Raw genomic sequence first — 19,512 nt, 5'->3', positions numbered from 1 at the left:
TGTTTGGGTGGTATTTGCTATGTAGATATTTTTAATGTCTATGAGGTGAATTCATGAATCTTTTTATGTTTATTGCCTCTGGATTTTGTTTAGTTCTTAGGAATGCCCTCCTCATCCCATGACTATAAAATATTTGGTAGTGGTTTCCTCTGGCATGGTTTGGGTTTTCTTTTTTACATTTAAATAATATTATTTAAATGTATTCCTGAGATGTGATTTGATTTAGGTTGTTAGGTATGGGTCAAATGGGTTTTTATTATTTTTATTATGTATATATTTTAATGTAATTTAATTTTTTTTTTTGGAGACAGAACCTCTGTCACCCAGGCTGGAGTGCAGTGGTATGATCATAGCTCACAGCAGCCTCAAACTCTTGGGCTGCAGTTATCCTCCCACCTCAGCCTCCTGAGTAGTTGGGATTACAGTTGCACACCACCATGCGTATAATTTTTATAATTTTTTTAGACAAGGGGTTTCACCATGTTGGCCAGGCTGGTCTTAAACTCCTGAGCTCAAGTGATCTGTCCCCCTTGGCCTCCCAAAGTGCTGGGATTACATGTGTGAACCACTGTGCCTGGCCTGCAGTGATATTTCTGTCAAACCTGAGAAATACACTGGGGAGAAATCCAATACATATAATAAAATAAAAAATTATGATCAAGGACACTAGACTTAATGTTGAATCAGAGAACCTATAGTAGAGAAAAATACTATAGGTAATATATAAGGCCAATCATTGGCCCACTAGATGGAAAACTTTTATAGCTAGCCCATGTGAAGTTTCAGTCCTGTCTTAATTTATTAAGTATCACTGAATGTACACTGGAAAATATAAACGTATCAATCAGAAATGTTTTAATGTCTTTTCATTCTATTTTGGACGTGAGGAAATCACTTTTTAGTGAGTTGCAACTATACTAAAGTCATAGATTCAGCTATTTTGCACTGAAGGAAGTACACAGTTCTATGACAAAAAAAATTTAAATTAAATTGTATCCGCTGGGCAAGGTGGCTCACACCTGTAATCCTAGGACTTTGGGAGGCCAAGGCAGATTGATCACCTGAGGTCAGGAGTTTGAGACAAGCCTGGCCAACATGGTGAAACCTTGTCTGTACTAAAAATACAAAAATTTGCTGGGCGTGGTGTAATCCCAGCTACTCGAGAGGCTGAGGCAGGAGAATTGCTTGATCCCAGGAGGTGGAGGTGGAGGTTGCAGTGAGCTGACATTGCGCCATTGCACTCCAGCCTGGGCAACAGAGCAAAATTCTTTCTCAAAAAAAAAAAAAAAAAAGAAAAAAAATTGTATCCTTAAGTGATGATTTTGTTGGAAATTTTTTTTATAGATATCATAGTGTATTCAAAGTAAATTAGCTCTTCCTGGTGATTCAGAGCAACAGTCAGGCAAGCTTTTTCTATAAAGTGCCAGATAGTAAATATTTTACGTTCTGTGTCATGCAGTCTCTGTCGAAACTACTCACTCAATGATTACAGTGCAAAATTAGTCAGAGGGAATACATAACTGAATGGTACTGCACTGTCCCAATATAACTTTATTTATAAACACAAAATGAATTGTACATAATTTTATGTGTAAGAAAAAATAATTTGTTTTTTGATTTTTTAGAGCCATGTAAAAATGATTCCTGGCTGGGCGCAGTAGCTCACACCTGTAATCCCAGCACTGTGGGAGGCCGAGGTGGTTTGATCACCTGAGGTGAGGAGTTTGAGACCAGCCTGGCCAACACGGTGAAACCTCGTTTCTACTAAAAATACAAAAATTAGCTGGGTGTGGTGGTGTACGTCTGTAATCCCAGCTACTCGGGAGGCTGAGGTAAGAGAATTGCTTGAACCCGGGAGGCAGAGGTTGTAGTGAGCTGAGATCGCGCCAGTGTACTCCAGCCTGGACAACAAGTGTGACAGTCCATCTCAAAAAAAAAAAAAAAAAAAATTTCTAAACCACAACCTATACAAAAAACAGGCATGAGAAATTGTGGAAGACAGTGTGGTGATTCCTCAAGGATCTAGAGCCAGAAATACCATTTGACCCAGCAATCCCATTACTGGGTATATACCCAAAGGATTATAAATCATTCTATTATAAAGACACATGCACACATGTATTTATTGCAGCACTATTTACAATAGCAAAGACTTGGAACTAACCCAAATGCCCATCAATGATAGACTGGATAAAGAAAATGTGGTACATATACACCATGGAATACTATGCAGCCATAAAAAAGAAGGAATTCCTGTCCTTTGTAGGGACATGGATGAAGCTGGGAGCCATTGTTCTCAGCAAACTAACACAGGAACAGAACCAAATACTGCATGTTCTCACTGATAAGTGGGAGTTGAACAGTGAGAACACATGGACACAGGGAGGTGAGCATCACACACCTGGGCCTGCCGGGGGTGATGAGCAAGGGGAGGGAGAGCATCAGCACAAATACTGAATGTATACAGGGCTTAAAACCTAGATAAGGGGTTTATGGGTGCAGCAAACCACTATGGCACATGTATACTATGTAACAAACCTGCACATTCTGCACATGTAGCCCAGAATTTAAAGTAAAATTTAAAAAAAAGAAAAAAAAGGAAAAGCATTAGTCCTATCTATGTCCTAAATAGTACAAAACTTCAGTAAATAAAAGGCTGTGTTTTATTAATGCATGAATGGAAAGACAAATCAATGGAATAGAATAGAAAACCAAATATACCCCCACATATATGCATAAAAATTTAATATTTGATAAGATGATTCAGATTAATGTGGAAAGGCAGATTACTCAATCAGTGAATGAGTAATCATTGTGATAAACAAGCAAACCATTTAAAAATCCATTTGAGGTCAGGCAGAGTGGCTCACATGTGTAATCCCAGCAATTTGGGAGGCACAGGAAGGGGGATTGCTTGAGCCTGGGAGTTTGAGATCAGCCTGAGAAGATGGTGAGACCTTGTCTCTACAAAAATAAAAAATAAAAAATTAGCCAAGTGTGGTGGTTGCACCTATAGTCCTGGCTACTCGGGAGGCTGAGCTGGGAGAATAACTTGAGCCCAGGAGTTTGAGGCTGCTGTGAGCTATGATCACACCACTGCACTCCAGCCTGAGAGCAAGATACACAGCAAGATAATTCCAACTGAAGGGCTTTGATTTTTAAAGTATAAATAGGAATTCTTCTCTTCTTATTTATTTATTGTTGGCTACCAGATGGAGTGGTCAGGATTTTTCTATAGTATTAGTATTTTGGTACTCAATAGAGCATACACATTTTTATTATAAATTCTTTGATGCTTAATATTATATGACTTGGAAAGTGCTATAAATGAAAATAATAAAGACATACTTTGTGTTTTTCAATCTTGAGGTTTTATGTGATAAAACATTGGTTACCTACAGTTCATTCTCCCTCTTTGGAAAGTGGAACATTGCTGGGCTCAATCAATCAAAATGAGAGAAGTATGTAAAAGGGACCAGAATCATGTAGCATGATTTGAACAGCAAATAACAGGAAACACTTGTCTAGTTGGATGCTAATAAAGCACTGTATTAGTGCCAATAGCAGACATTCCAGGCATATTATGCCAAGGGCTCCCTTCCACCCGTGTTGGCTTCCTCTTCGGGTTGGTAGCAAAATACTTGTAGCCGTTTCCAAAATCATATCCTGTTATAAACACCAGGAGAAAGAAAGAAGATATGAGTCCTTTTTTGTGTCTCTTTTCAGAAATGAGACAACCTCTGCTGGAAGCCTCCTTTAGGTTTTACTTCATTTCAAAATTGGGACATGTGCCATTTCCTAAAGCAATCACTGGCAAGGGGAATGAGATTATCACGATTAGTCTAAACTAATCACCTGGAGTTAAATTGATGTTAGAAGTTAATGTCCATCAGCACTAAACAGGGTTCTATTCTTCTATATTTTGACATCATCTGGGAGTTGAAAAACTGCAACTGTGAGCCAGAGATTGACAGAGTGATAGAGCCACTGAATAAGAAATAGATTTATGACTTGGGAAGTGGAGAAGCCATGCTAAATGAAACCTATAAATTTGAAGCTGCCAATTTCTCATAGATTATCTATTTGTTTAAGTATAAGGAATCTTGAGAAACTCATGTAGGATGCAATAGAACCTATATTTCATTTGAGTGCATATTCATTAACATTTTCCTGCTTTTTAAAAACTCTACAATCAGGCCGGGTGCAGTGTCTCATGCCCATAATCCCAGTGCTTTGGAGGCTGAGCCGGGAGGATCTCTTGAGCCCAGGAGTTTGAGACCTGCCTGGGCAACATAGCAAACCCTGTCTCTACAAAAAACCAAACCAAACCAAAGCAAAAATGCAACAAATTAGCTGGTTGGCGTGGTGCACTTTTGTAGTCCTAGCTACTTGGGAGGCTGAGGCAGGAGGATTGCTTGAATTCGGGAGTTTGAGACTGCAGTGAGCTATGATTGCGCCACTACTCTCTGGCCTGGGCAATAGGGCAAGACTCTGTCTCTAAAAACAAACCAAATAAGAAAAACAAAACCAGGAAACCCTCTATCATCAGAAAATTATCGACACTTTTGGTTTCAGATGTGCCCGTCTTGCTGTGAGTCCACATCCAGCAGGGACAGGCAAAGCTAAGAGCACCAGGGCTCTTCTCCTTCCTGTGTGCGTGCACCTTCCCATGAATATAATAAATAAAGATGATTACTTACTCCATGTGTTACACTTGCAAACCTTGCCTTTTTTATTGCTCTAAAATATGAGGTAACCAAGATTGTGCATAACTAGCATTAGACAACTCACTGCACACTATTTCTAACTGTGTTTGTGGTCCTATGTGGTACTTTGGATAATGTTATTTTCATAATTATGCATGAATAATTTTTCCAGGGCCACCAGCTGGTCCTAGCTGGTTGCCTTCTCCTCTACCCCTGCTGACTACATAAGTGGTTTGTTATTTTCCAAAGATAATTTTCTTAAAACGCTTATGCTTGGGGGTACGCGTGAAGGTTGGTTACATACGTAGACTAGTGTCATGGGGGTTTGTAGTACAGATTATTTCATCACCCAGGTATTAAGCCCATTAGTCACTATTTATCTTTTCTGCTCCTCTCCCTTTTCTTACCCTCCACCCTCAAGTAGACCGCAGTGTCTATTGTTTCCTTCTTTGCGTTCATGAGTTCTCATCATTTAGCTCCCATTTGTAAGTGAGAACAAGTGGTATTTGGTTTTCTCTTGCTGCATTAGTTTGCTAAATATAATGGCCTCCAGCTCCATCCATGTTCCCACAAAATACATGATCTCATTCTTTTTGTTATGGCTGCATAGTGTTCCATGGTGTATATGTACCACATATTCTTTATCCAATCTGTCATTGATGGATATTTAGGTTGATCCTATGTGCTTGCTATTGTGAATCATGCTGCAATGAACATTCATGTGCATGTGTCATTATGGTAGAATGATTTATATTCTTCTGGGTATATACCCAGTAAGGGGATTGCTGGGTCGAATGGCACTTCTGCTTTTAGCAGCTTGATGAATCACTATACTGCTTTCCACAATGGCTAAACTAATTTACACTCCCACCAACAGTGTATGTGTTCCCTTTTTTTCTGCAACCTCACCAGCATCTGTTATTTTTTGACTTTTTAAATAATAGCCATTCTAACTTGTGTGAGTTGGCATCTCATTGTGGTTTTGATTTGCATTTCTCTAATGATCAGTGAAACTGAGCTTTTATTCATATGCTTGTTGGCCACATGTATGTCTTTTGAAATTGTTTGCTCATACCCTTTGCCCACATTTTAAGGGGCTGTTTGTTTTTCTCTTGTAAATTTGTTTAAGTTCATTATAGATCCTGGATATTAGACCTTTGTCAGATGCATAGTTTGCAAGTATTTTCTTTAGGCTGTCTGTTTATTCCGTGGATAGTTTCTTTTGCTATGCAGAAGCTATGTGATGGGCAACAAGAGTGAAACTTTGTCTCAAAAAAAAAAATTTTTTTTCTTTTTTTTCTTTTTCTTTTTTTTTTTTTGAGACCGAGTCTCACTCTGTCGCCAGGCTGGAGTGCAGTGGTGCGATCTCAGCTCAGTGCAACCTCCGACTCCCTGGTTCAAGCCAAAATTCGCTCTTTTAATTTACATATAAAAAGAAATATTCAGGTTTGCTTGATGTTCTGCAAATTTTGAGTGACTCAAACATACTATGAGTGTTCTTTTGGTTACCAAACTTAGAATAACATAAAAAAACTGTCAGAAGAAAACTTTTTTTTTAAAGGTTATTTCTAATAAAATGATATGTACTTTTTTCTAAAGTTAAAAAACTTGTTTACTATATAGACTGACATGTAACTGTTAAAACCTTGATTTTAAAAATGAAACTGTCTTTGTCAATTATGAATTAGTGACGTTCATAATATACTTATGGGGTAAATTAAAGTCCCTGGGTATTTGTTAGTGGCGTCCTTAACTCTCATGACAACTCTGCTTCTCTTACTTGAGAAGGGAGTGTTCGTGATTATTTGACCGTTTTATGGAACTATCCATGCTTTGTACAGATATTTTGGAAAGTTTTTTTTTTTTTTAATATTAATGTTTCCTGGCTGGGCGCGGTGGCTCACGCCTGTAATCCCAGCACTTTAGGAGGCCGAGGCTGGCGGATCGTCTGAGGTCGCGAATTCGAGACCAGCCTGACCAACATGGATAAACCCCGTCTCTACTAAAAATACAAAATTAGCCGGGTGTGGTGGCACGCGTCTGTAATCCCAGCTAGTCCAGAGGCTGAGGCAGGAGAATCTGTTGAACCCGGGAGGAGGAGGTTGCAGTGAGCCGGGATCGCGCCATTGTACTGCATCCTGGGCAACAAGAGTGAAACTCCGTCTAAAAAAAAAAAAAAAAAATTCATGTTTCTTGTTAATGGTTAATGTTTAAAAATGTAAAGTAGATTTTTTCAAGTATTCTATGCTATCATGATTCTAAATTTATCGTTAGCGTATAGTCTTCTCCCAGAAGTTAAAATCCGCTCAAGTGGCTGAATTGTTCTCCTTCATTCAGCGAAGGAGAGATTAAAAGAGGAACAGTTTCTGAGTGATGGAGGGTCCTGCTAAAAATAAATAAATAAAATAAATAAAAGCAAGTATTTATATAGGCAGTAGATATGTGATTGAGTTGGTCCATATCAGAAAATTTAGAAATTGAGAGGTTTTCTGACCTCTTGTGGAAGTCTCATTAAAAATGGCAAGAAATTGGCCGGGCACAGTGGCTCATGCCTGTAATCCCTGCACTTCGGGAGGCCGAGGCGGGCGGATCACTTGAGGTCAGGAGTTGGAGACCAGCATGGCTGCATGGCAAAACCCCGTCTCTGCTAAAAATACAAAAATAAACTGAGCGCGGTGGTTTGCGCGTGTAATCCCAGCTACTCGAGAGGCTGAGGCAGGAGAATGGCTTGCACCTGGGAGATGGAGGCTGTAGAGGGCTGAGATCGCACCAGGCACTCCAGCCAGGGAGACAGAGTCAGACTCTGTCTCAAAAAAAAAAAAAACAAAACAAAACAAAAAAAACAAAAACCAAACCAAACCAAAACAAAACCCAAAAAGGCAAGAAATTAAAGAACTTTTAGAAGCTTTGCCATTACCTAAGGGAGTAGCCATATAATAAAATGGAGACTAATTTAAAGGGCAATAACCCAGAATCCTGAGGAAATAATTTGCCACTATGCTAAACAAGTAGCATTAACCAAAGCAGTTGCCATACTGATGGTTTGTAAATATGTTCTAGTCATAGTCTGCTTATCTCCAGAATGGATTGAGGATATTCCTGATAGACAGACAAGATTTTGATGATAAAATTGCTTGACTGTTATTCTGGACTTAAGGAATTCTAGTGTATTCTTCAGTGATTGGGGGGAGGGGTTGTGGTACACAAAAGAACAGCTCCAAATGTTTTTTAGTGTGAATAAACAATCTTGCTGTACCAAATGAATATTTAGAACAATTAGAAAGAAGGAGGGGCATGGTGGCTCACACCTGTAATCCCAGCACTTTGGGAGGCCAAGGCGGGTGGATCACCTGAGTTCAGGAGTTTGAGACCAGCCTGGCCAACATGGTAGAACCCCGTCTTTACTAAAATACAAAAAAATTAGCCAGGTGTGGTGGCTCATGCCTGTAATCCTAGCTACTCGGGAGGCTGAGGCAGAAGAATTGCTTGAACCTGGGAGGTGGAGGTTGCAGGGAGCCGAGACCACTGCACCATTGCAATCCTGCCTGGGCAACAAGAACTAAACCCGGTCTCAAAAAAAAAAAAAAAAAAAAAAGAACAATTAGAAAAAAATGAATTCTGTAAAACTAAGTTTGAGAATGTTCTCCAACACTCAAACTTCCATGGCTTGGGAATTGCTATTAGCCTTGAAGACAATGACATCAACTCCTCCTGGAATCCATAGGCTTCTCCATACATTTAGGAATTCACTTCTGAACCCGTACTCTGCCATATCACAAGCTCACATTTCTAAATACTACAAAGGATTCATTTGGTGTGTCTAGCTTTTAATAGATAACAATAATCTTCCCCCAAATACCCACCTAATGGCTCTACATGACTAGAAATCTGAAGATTTGTCTTTTGGAAAAGACTAAACATCTCAAAATCAGAGGAAAAACTACCGTTGGCCTTAATAAATTAAGGACATCATCAAGAAACCATAAACTGAGAATTCTTAAGTATCTTCCAGAACAACGATTTTTGGAAGAAGATGACCAAACCAATGTCTTCAGATCAAGCTTTGATGACCCCGAGTAGTTACTTCCACCCAAGACAGTAAAACAAGATACATGTTCTGGTATCTTTGCCCTCTTTTTAAAATTTTGCTGTACTTATCATTGTGCTTAAGCGTTCCCTAGAGGGCAACCAAAAGTTTTTAAGATTCTTTCACAAACTCGGCCTGGCAAGGTGGCTCATGCCTGTAATCCTAGCACTTTGGGAGAACCAGGCAGGCAGAATACTTGAAGCCCTGAGTCTGAGACCAGGCTGGCCATCATGGTGAAACCCTGTCTCTACTAAAAATACAAAAATGCAGAAATTAGCTGGGCGTGGTGTCACCCGCCTGTAATCTCAACTACTTAGCAGGCTGAGGCAGTGAGATGAGATTGGACCACTGCACTCCAGCCTGGGCAACAGAGTGAGACTCTGTCTCAAAGAAAAGGATTCTTTCACAAACGACGAATGACAGTTTATCTTGAACTTTTTTTTTTTTTTGGCAAAGTTTTTTTTGCTCTTGTCACCCAAAATGGAGTGCAGTGGCGCAACATCAGCTCACTGCAACCTCTGTCTCCCTGGTTCAAGTGATTCTCCTGCCTCAGCCCCTCAAGTAGCTGGGATTACAGGCTTATGTCACCATGCCTGGCTAACTTTTGTATTTTTAGTGGAGATGGGGTTTCACCATGTTGGCCAGGCTAGTCTCAAACTCCTGACCTCAAGTGATCCACGTGCCTCAGCATCCAAAGTGCTGGGATTACAGGCGTGAGTCACCATGTCTGGCCTCAATTTTCTATATTAGAGAATTTTTCCTGCCACCTAAGGTAAAGGAAAACTTTCTTATTTTTTTGTCAACTATAGCTATTGTTTTTTAAATTTTTATTTAGCTTAAAATTTTTCTCTTAAAAGACAGAATCTTGCTGTGTCACCCAGCCTGGAGTGTGGTTGTATGATTCTAGCTGAAACTCCTGGGATCAAGTGATCCACCCACCTCAGCCTCTGGATAAGCTAGAACTGCAGGTGCGCATCACCTCACTCGGTTATTTTTTTCAGTTTTTAGTAAAGACGAAGTCTCACTTTGTTGTTTGGGCTGGTAGTGAAATCCTGGCTCACAGGATGATCTCAAACAACAAAGTATGTCTGCTGACATTATTGCAATAATGTATTGAGTCTCTCCTTGCAGTGTTAGTCCTTAATCTTCAGTGACTCCTCAGCCTCCACTCAAGCAGTGTTCACATGTTGAACTAGTTTTCCTACTCTCACTGTGATAAATGACACTTATACACCCCATATCCCTTTCAGTTTGTGCAACACTAAGGCACTACTTTTTATGTGGATATCAGATCACCTGATCATTATACAAACTTGTGTAATATGGAGTGAGTTTTAAACTATTTTATTAATAATATTTTTCAATATTTTAAACATGTACTCCTATAGGAAATGATGTTTCTCTGAGAAAAGTATGGACTATTCAGGAGACCTTCCAGGAGAGATGACCGACTCCCTCTTCATCTATACTCTGGGAGCTCCAATTCCAGTAATAGGAATAATATGACTAGAAAAGGTGGTCCAAAATATGTCTCTGGTCCTAGCAGAAATCAATAGATGACACTAACTTCTTTTCTGGAGGTCCAGCAAACTAGCTTAAATTAAAGTTTCATGGTGGTTATGAATGATTTCATAGTTTTTGGTTTCTTCTTGGCCAGCCAAGGACAGCTTTTATTTGATAGCAAACACTGTTTGCAGCACCTCCCTAAAACATTACTGCTGAGGCAGAAGAGTTTTGTGGCAAGGTTAAAAGACTACCTGTCTCTCTAGAACAGATTCAGATGAAGTTGGGACATGATTTCATGGTCTGGTTTTGAAATCGGCCTTTGTCTTTGCAACCTATTACTAGGACTAATAATCATTTTGTTTCTAGTAATTACCTGCATTTGACTAGTACATCCTGTTCAGTCTTTCTTTTTCTTTTTCTTTTTCTTTTTTTTTTTTGAGACGGAGTTTCGCTCTTGCCCCCAAGGCTGGACTGCAATGGCATGATCTCGGCTCATTGCAACCTGTGCCTCCTGGGTTCAAGTGATTCTCTTGCCTCAGCCTCCTGAGTAGCTGGCATTACAGGCGCCCGCAACCACGCCCAGGTAATTTGTGTATCTTTAGTAGAGACGAGGTTTCACCATGTTGGCCAGGCTGGCGGTGAACTGCTGACCTCAGGTGGTCCACGTGCCTCGGCCTCCCAAAGGGCTGGGATTACAGGCGTGAGCCACAGCGCCTGGCCTCCTGTTCAGTCTTAAATGCTACTGTGCAGTCATTATATTTTCACTTGTATATTTTGTACTAAATGTATATGAGAGACCAAATGTATGTGGATGCAGAGAATGTTCTCCCGATAACCTTGTGATCTGTGGACTCAGACAGTGGTGTAGATCTGAACCTCACAGATGAAAGTCCTGATGGCTGACTTTGTCTTTGGTCAAAAGAGGAGGATGAAAAGTGAAAAATCACCCAGGAACTTGCAGTGGGAAGCTGACAGGCCAAGCTGAATCTTCCCTACCACACACAAACATCTCCTGCAAAATTTTTTTTTTTTTTGAGACGGGGTCTCGCTCTGTCACTCAGGCTGGAGTGCAGTGGTGCGATCTCGGCTCACTGCAACCTCTGCCTCCCGGCTTCAAGCGATTCTCCTGCTGCAGCCTCCTGAGTAACTGGAATTACAGGTGTGCACCACCACACTCCGGCTAATGTATTTGTATTTTTAGTAGAGACAGGGTTTCAGCATGTTGGTCAGGCTGGTCTTGAACTCCTGCCCTCCTGATCCGCCCACCTCAGCCTCCCAAAGTGCTGGGATTACAGGCATGAGCCACTGCACCCGGCCGAAGAATATTTTAAGCAGTCAAGTTTGCTCAGTGATTGTCATGCAACAAGATATAGAAAGTCTATTCTGTAACTATATTTGAAACCAGAGAGAGATAACATTCTGCAGTGAAGACCACATTAGTCTCTCAACTTCCTAGATAAATTTACCAGAATAATCATCAAATTGCACCATTTTAGAGAACTGGCTCCTACTCCTTAAACACGCCTTGGACTGCCCTAGTCAACTCCTACAATGGGCTCCCTATGACACTATCCTATCAAGTTTATTTTCCTCTATTGTTTGCTCTCCCTTGACGCAACACACCAAATAAACCAAGTCGTGTTGGAATACACTGTGTGGTCACTGGGTGGCTGCCGACACCTGTGCAAATCTAGGGAGCCCATTTGGAGCCTTCCTGCACCTCCATACCCTCAACCCCCTGCTCCAAAATTCTTTGAATTTAGAGTGAAGAAAAATTTCTGATTCCAGGACATCAGAAAGCCAAGCACTTATCAGATGATTAAGTTTGACTTGAAAGAATTAAGCTCAGAGCAGATAATTACTTGGAATGAATTATCTTGGGAAGACCTCCGGGGATTGGACATCCACCCTAAGGTGGATCAAGGGGCGGGTTGTTTGGATTCCAACAACCCTTATTAAGGACAACCCTTTTTAAGGACAGAGCCTAGGCCCTTCCTCGCTTTTCCAAGTCTTTTGCCAACCAGTTTGTTAGACTTTCCCCTATTCTGAATCAGGTGGGAGCACAGCATGGCCGTGGGAACGAGTGCTCTCAGCAAGGAGCCGTGGTGGACCCTGCCCGAAAACTTTCATTCTCCAATGGTGTTCCACATGGAAGAGGACCAGGAGGAGCTCATCTTCGGTGAGTGGCCTTTGCCCACGTCCCCTCCTTCATCTGTTTTTTATTTTTATTTTTTTGAGACAGATTCTCGCTCGTGATCTTGGCTCACTGCAACGTCTGCCTTTTGGGTTCAAGTGATTCTCCTGCTTCAGCCTGCAGAGTACCTGGGATTACAGGCGCCTGCCACCACGCCTAACTAGTTTTTGTACTTTTTTTTTTTTTTTTTTTGAGACTCGAGACGGAGTCTTGCTCTGCCGCCCAGGCTGGAGTGCAGTGGCGCGATCTCGGCTCACTGCAAGCTCTGCCTCCCGGGTTCACGCCATTCTCTCACCTCAGCCTCCAGAACAGCTGGGACTACAGGCGCCCGCCATCACGCCCGGCTAATTTTTTTTGTATTTTTAGTAGAGATGGGGTTTCACCGTGTTAGCCAGGATGGTCTCGATTTCCTCACCTCCTGATCTGCCGGCCTCGGCCTCCCAAACTGCTGGGAATACAAGTGTGAGCCACTGCGCCCGGCCTCGTGTTTTTTTTTTTTTTTTTTTTTTTGATATGGAATCTCTGTCGCCCAGGCTGGAGTGCAGTGGCGCGATCTCGGCTCACTGCAAGCTCCGCCTCCCGGGTTCACGCCATTCTCCTGCCGCAGCCTCCCGAGGAGCTGGGACTACAGGCGCCTGCCACCACGCCCGGCTAATTTTTTGTATTTTTAGTAGAGACGGGGTTTCACCATGTTAGCCAGGCGTGTGTGGAACTCCTGACCTCAACTGATCTACCTGCCTCGGCCTCCCAAATTGCTGGGATTACAGGCATGAGTCACTGCGCTAGGCCGGCCTCCTTCATCCCCTTCTCGATTTTCAATCTTCCCCTCTCCTCCCACCTTCATGAGTCACACATCCCTACCCTCAAGGCCACCTCCTCACTCCCCAAGGACTGGTGGCTGACAGTTTCTCTTCTCACTTCTTGTGCTTACAGGACTTGATGACACGTACCTTCGCTGCATTGAGCTGCACAGCCACACCCTTATTCAGCTGGAGAGGTGTTTCACAGCTACAGGCCAGACACGTGTGACTGTAGTCGGACCACCAATGGCAAAGCAGTGGCTGCTGCTCATGTTCCATTGCGTGGGGAGCCAGGACTCCAAGTGTCACGCTCGAGGTAGGTATCCTTGGCCGAACTGTGGAGGTGGAGGGCTTGATGGTGGAGTTCTGGCTGTGTTGTGTGGCATCTTGGATTCGTGAAGAATCCCTTGTGTGGCTGGGGAATCCAGGTGCTTCCCAGAGTCCATTGGGAAGGGAAGGGCTCATTTTTGTGGCATGCGATTGCTCAGGGAGGAGAGGGTAGCAGGGAGGAGTAAATGGGTTACCTTGGAAGACCTGGGCTGGGGTGACATCCTCTCTGGAACCTTCCTGGTGGAGTCTGGGCCTACTAAGGGCCCCAGTAATGGGACTCTGGTTCTTCAGCTCCAGGCAATTCTTTTGCAGGTCTGAAGATGCTAGAGCGTGTCCGAAGCCAGCCCCTGACCAATGATGACCTGGTCACCTCCGTTAGCCTGCCACCGTACACCGGAGACTGATCTCCCCTGGGAAGAGGGGATGAGAGGAGAAGTCTTGGCTTCGCTTTTGGTGAGAAAGACATGAAAAACACTGAAGAAAGTTTGAATTTGTGGCCAGACCTGCCCCTCTCAGGCCTTCTAGGCATGTGTCTGAGGGAAGTCTCCTGAGTGTTAGAAGTGTTATTGGCAAAGCAATCCAATAAAATAAGCTACCTATGATGCAAAGCCTTCGATGTGCTGTCCTCTTAGGATGAAATTATTCAGCCCTGAAGGGGATTCTCTGGGCAAGTGCTGAGGTCTGGGGAGGCCCAGCCCAGGGAAGGAGCCAGGCACAAAAGTCGGTGCTTTCAGGAACTCCTCCTCTCAGGCCTGGAGCCTGGTTAGGCTGCTCTGAGTTGAGTGAAAATGGGGGCTTCTGAAAAGGGACCCTCCTAGGAGCCCCAGGGTTTTCCTGGACCTTGAAGTGCAGACAAATGGGGAGAATGGAAAGGTGGGAGGAAGGCTCCAGATAGAGATGGAAAGTGTTCCCACCCCAACTGCCTGGTGAAGTAGGCAGCCAGGGAATCTGGTGAATATGAGGTAGCCAGCCTTGTCCCTGATTGCCCAAGTTTGTGGGTGGGGGTGAGCGTGGAGGGGGTGGTTTTCAGGGAGCAAAGGATTCTGAAGTCCCTCAAGCCATGAATTAAATTGACTAGGAAGGCTTCCTGGATCTCCATTGAAGAACTTTCTCCGATTGCGGAATCTACATGTTTCTGTAGCCAAGATTATCGCAAGCTAAACCTGTCCTCAGTTGAACTCTTCCTCTTCAAATTTGCATTTTCTCCAGCATTTCGTATCTATAATGAGGCAATTGCAGTACTCTAGGAGAGTGACGATGGTGACTTGGACCAGAGTGGAATGGTAGATGTGTTAGGAAATGGTTGAATTTGGGACCTATTTTGAAGCCAGCAAGATTTGCTAATTACATGGCTTTTACAAGGCCAGTTACCAAATATAAGTTAGAAAGGTCGGCCAGGCGCAGTGGCTCACACCTGTAATCCCACGAGTTTGGGAGGCTGAGGTGGGCGGATCACCTGAGGTTGGGAATTTGAGACCAGACTGACCAACATGGAGAAACCCAATCTCTACTAAACACACAAAAGTAGCCGGGCATGGTGGCGCATATGCCTGTAATCCCAGCTACTCAGGAGGCTGAGGCAGGAGAATCCCTTGAACCCGGGTGGCGGAGGTTGCGTTGAGCCGAGATCATGCCATTGTACTCCTGCTGGGGTAACAAGAGTAAAGCTATGTCTCAAAAAAAAAAAAAAAAAAAGACAACAAAAAACACATAAGTTAGAAAGGTCATATTCAGAGTGGAAAAACAAGTAGAGAAAATGTTGAAAGAAATCAAATTGTAGTGGCTGGGCACTGTGGCTCATGCTTGTAATTCCAGCACTTTGGGAGGCCAAGGGGGGCTCAGGAGTTTGAGACCAGCCTGGACAACTTGGTGAAACCCTGTTTCTCCCAAAAATATAAAAAAATTAGCCAGGTTTTGTGGTGGGCAACTGTCATCCCAGCTGCTGGGAGAGGGGTTTGGGGTGGGAGGATCGCTTGAGCAGGGGAGGCGGAGGTTGCAGTGAGTGGAGCTCGCGCCACTGCACTCCAGCCTGGGTGACAGGGAGACCCTGTCTCAAACAACAAAACAAAACAAACAAAATCCTGTAAAGGAGTCAAGCACATTCTACAATACTAGGCATAAGAATGGCTGGGCGTGGTGGCTCATGCCAGTAATTCCAGCACTTTGTGAGGCCAAGGTGGGTGGATCACCTAGGTCAAGTGTTTTGAGACCAGCCTGGCCAACATAGTCAAACCCTGTCTCTACTAAAAACACAAAAATTAGCCAGGCATGGTGGTGGGCACCTGTAATCCCAGCTACCTGGGAGGCTGAAGCAGGAGAATCGCTTGAACCCGGGAGGCAGAGGTTGCAGTGAGCCGAGATTGCACCACTGCACTCCAGCCTGGATGACAAGAGCAAATCTGTCTCAAAACAAAAACAAAACCCATGTATTTTTAAATTGTCAGTCTGATAGATGAAAAATGTTTCTTAGTGGTGTTTAAAATTGCATGTATCTTATTCCAAGTGACACTGAATATCTCCTTATTGGATTCTCCTATGTCTTTCCTGATACCTTTTCATTCATATGTATAAAGACAATTTATATTGCACTTTCTGTGACCTGTCTATTTAGGCTGTTGTCCATTAGGTTGTTATTGACTTGTAGTACCTCTTGATATATTATGAAAATTAGTGCTTTGCTTGTAAAATGAGCCACAAATACTTCTTTCCAGTGTGTCCTTTGTTTTTTACATTGTTTTGGTGGAATTTGCCATGGAGATATTTTTAATATCTATGAGATGAATTCATGAATCTTTTTATATTTATTGTCTCTGGATTTTGTTTCATTCTTAGAAATGCCCTCCTCATTCCATGACTATAAAATATTTGGTAGTGGTTTCCTCTGGTATGGTTTGGGCTTGTTTTTTAACATTTAAATATTTGATGTTCCTGAGATGTGTTTTGATTTTGGTTGTTAGGTCTTGTTCAAACAGATTTTTAATATTTTATACATATATACTTTTACATCTATTCTTACTGTTTTATTTTTTGGAGACAGGGTCTCACTCTGTCACCCAGGCTGGAGTGCAGTGGTGTGATCATAGGTCACAGCAGCCTCAAACTTCTGGGCTCAAGTTATTTTCCCACCTCAGCCTCCCAAGTAGCTGGGACTACAGGTGCACGTAACTTCTCCTGTCTAATTTTTTAATTTATTTCATTTTTGTAGAGAAAAGATTTCACCATCTTGCCCAGGCTGATCTCAGTCTCCTGGGCTCAAGTGATCCTTGTGCCTCAGCCTCCCAAAGTGTTGGGATTACATGTGTGAACCACTGAGCCTGGTCTCAATTGGATTTTTAATAGGTGAATCTGTTTATCCCAATGATTACTCAATCATTGAATGAGTAATCCACCTTTTCCACACTAATCTGAATTGTCTCCTTTATCAAATATTAAATTTCTATGCATATATGTGGGTTTTTTTTGGTTTTCTATTCTATTTCATTAATTTGCCTTTCTGTTCATGCATCAATAAAACACAGCCTTGTATTTATTGAAGTTTTGTACTACTTGGTACATGGTAGGACTAATCCGTTTTTTTGTCTACTTTTTGTACAGCTTGTGGTTTAGGAATCATGGATCACATGGCTTACATGGTTTAAAAAATTAAAAGAAGGTTAATATTTGATTATGCATTAAATTATATAAAATTCAATGTGTGCTTATAAATAGAGATTTTTGAGATAGACCGGTACCTATCATTTATTTATGTATTGCTTCTGACCAGTTTTGCACTGCAATTGCTGAGTGAGTAGTTTTGACAGAGACTGCATGACATAAAACATAAAATATTTACTCTGTGGCCTTTATAGAAAAAGTTTGCCTGACAATTGCTCTAAATCACCAGGAAGAGCTAATTTACTTTGAATATGTTGTGATACTTGTAAAAACCTTTCCAACAAAATCATTACTTAAGGATATGATTTAGGCGGGGCTGGGTGGCTCACGCATGTAAGCCCAGGACTTTGGGAGGCTCTGGTGGGATGATTGCTTGACCTCAGGAGGTCAAGACAGACCAGCCAGGGCAACATGAGAAACCCCATCTCTACAAAAACTACAAAAAAAACTAGCTGAGCATGGTGGGGCATGACTGTAGTAGTCCCAGCTACTAAGGAGGCTGAGACGTGAGGATCGAATGAGCCTGAGAGGTTGAGGGTACAGTAAGCTGTGATGGTACCACTGCCCTCCAGCCTGGATGAGTGAAGCAGACCCTGTCTAAAAAAACAAAAAAATTTTAAAGGATATGATTTACTTTACGTTATTTTTGTCATTGAATTGTGTACTTTCTTGAGGGCAAAATAGCTGAATCTATGACTTTAGTATAGTTGCAATTCATTACAATGTGAGTTTTCTCATGACCAAAATAAGATGAAAAGACATTGAAACATTTCTCATTGCTTATGTTATTTTCCAGTGTACATTCAGTGGTACTTAAAAATTAAGATGGGACTGAAACTTTCTATGGGTTAGATGTAAATTTTTTTCTGATACATGTTTAGGTTAGCAGGCCAATGATTGGCTTTCTATATTATCGATAATATTTTTCTCCACCTAAAGTTTCCCTGATTCAACATTAAGTCTAATGTCCTTTAGAATAAATGTTTGACTTTTGTTACATTTATTGGACTTGTCCCAGTGTATTTCTTCAGGTTTGATAGAACTATCACTGAAGACTTTCTCATACTAGTTGTATTAATAGGATTTCTCTTCAGCAAGATACACAGTAAGAGAATTCCAAATGAAGGGCTTTGACATTTAATGTAGAAATAGAATTTTTCTTTTTTCTCTGTTTATTTATTTATATATTTTTGGCTACAAGATGAAGTGGTAAGGATTTTTCTATAGTATTAGTTTTTTGGTACTCAATAGGGCCTGAATTACTGCATATACATTTTGATTATAAATTCTTTGATGCTTAATATGACTTGGAAAGTGCTTATTAATGAAAATAATCAAGACATACTTTGTGCTTTTCACTCTTGAGGTTTTATGTGATAAAACACTTGTTACCTGCAGTTCATTCTCCCTCCTTGGAAAGGGGAACATTGCTGGGCTCAATCAATCAAAATGAGAGAAGTATGTAAAAGGGACCAGAATCATGTAGCATGCTTTGAACAGCAAATAATAGGAAACACTGGTCCAGTTGGATGCTAATAAAGCACTGTATTAGTGCCAATAGCAGACATTCCAGGCATATTATGCCAAGGGCTCCCTTCCACCTTGTGTTGGCTTCCTCTTCAGGTTGGTAGCAAAATACCTGTAGCCATTTCCAAAATCATATCCTGTCATAAACACCAGGAGAAAGAAAGAAGATATGAGTCCTTTTTTGTGTCTCTTTTCAGAAATGAGACAACCTCTGCTGGAAGCCTCCTTTAGGTTTTACTTCATTTCAAAACTGGTACATGTGCCATTTCCTAAAGCAATCACTGGCAAGGGGAATGAGATTATCACGATTAGTCTAAACTAATCACCTGGAGTTAAATTGATGTTAGAAGTTAATGTCCATCAGCACTAAACAGGATTCTATTTTTCTATGTTTTGACATCATCTGCGAGTTGAAAAACTGCAACTGTGAGCCAGAGATTGACAGAGTGATAGAGCCACTGAATGAGAAATGGATTTATGACCTGGGAACTTGAGAAGCCATGCTAAATGAAACCCACACATTTGAAGCTGCCAAATTCTCATAGAATATCTATTTGTTCAAGTATAAGGAATCTTGAGAAACTCATGTAGGATGCAATAGAAACTATATTTCATTTGAGTGCGTATTTGTTAGCATAGTCCTGCTTTTTAAATGCTGTATTACCAGGCACAGTGGCTCACGCCTGTAATCTCAGCACTTTGAGAGGC

General features: G+C 41.7%; 1 protein-coding gene and 1 long non-coding RNA gene across 3 annotated transcripts in view, besides 2 other annotated features; both read left to right on the top strand.

Moving 5' to 3' along the window:
• LOC122539213 (KHDC1-KHDC1L) overlaps positions 1-14,231 on the top strand; it is an 86,616-nt gene extending 72,385 nt beyond the window's left edge. Inside the window, exons 5-8 of one of the 2 annotated variants that reach the window (NR_173145.1) lie at positions 1,626-1,832; positions 12,354-12,478; positions 13,427-13,609; positions 13,936-14,231. This is a non-coding gene — a long non-coding RNA (KHDC1-KHDC1L). The remainder of the gene's footprint in view (positions 1-1,625; positions 1,833-12,353; positions 12,479-13,426; positions 13,610-13,935) is intronic. The other variant, NR_173146.1, reaches the window with a different exon arrangement.
• KHDC1L (KH domain containing 1 like) lies at positions 12,279-14,231 on the top strand. The gene is made up of 3 exons (NM_001126063.3): positions 12,279-12,478; positions 13,427-13,609; positions 13,936-14,231. Exons 1-3 carry the CDS (start codon positions 12,367-12,369, stop codon positions 14,025-14,027), a joined length of 387 nt encoding a protein of 128 aa, NP_001119535.1. The 5' UTR covers positions 12,279-12,366; the 3' UTR covers positions 14,028-14,231.
• Positions 12,724-13,923: an enhancer, noted in NCBI's record as "MED14-independent group 3 enhancer chr6:73933575-73934774 (GRCh37/hg19 assembly coordinates)". NCBI's record gives its function as "activates an origin of replication core promoter dependent on BRD2, BRD4, P300/CBP and CDK7 cofactors, and independent of MED14, by STARR-seq in HCT116 cells {active_cell/tissue: HCT116}" and the evidence as "EXISTENCE:reporter gene assay evidence [ECO:0000049][PMID:35650434]".
• Positions 13,195-13,489: an enhancer, noted in NCBI's record as "tiled region #4143; K562 Activating DNase matched - State 4:PromP". NCBI's record gives its function as "activates a minimal TATA promoter and a strong SV40 promoter by Sharpr-MPRA in K562 cells {active_cell/tissue: K562}" and the evidence as "EXISTENCE:reporter gene assay evidence [ECO:0000049][PMID:27701403]".
• Positions 14,232-19,512: the final 5,281 nt, after the last annotated feature.

Source organism: Homo sapiens, chromosome 6 (assembly GCF_000001405.40).
Source record: "Homo sapiens chromosome 6, GRCh38.p14 Primary Assembly".
Taxonomy (NCBI): Eukaryota; Metazoa; Chordata; class Mammalia; order Primates; family Hominidae; genus Homo; species Homo sapiens.
Note: the sequence above shows the minus strand (reverse complement) of the source record. Positions and strands in the feature narration are given on the sequence as shown.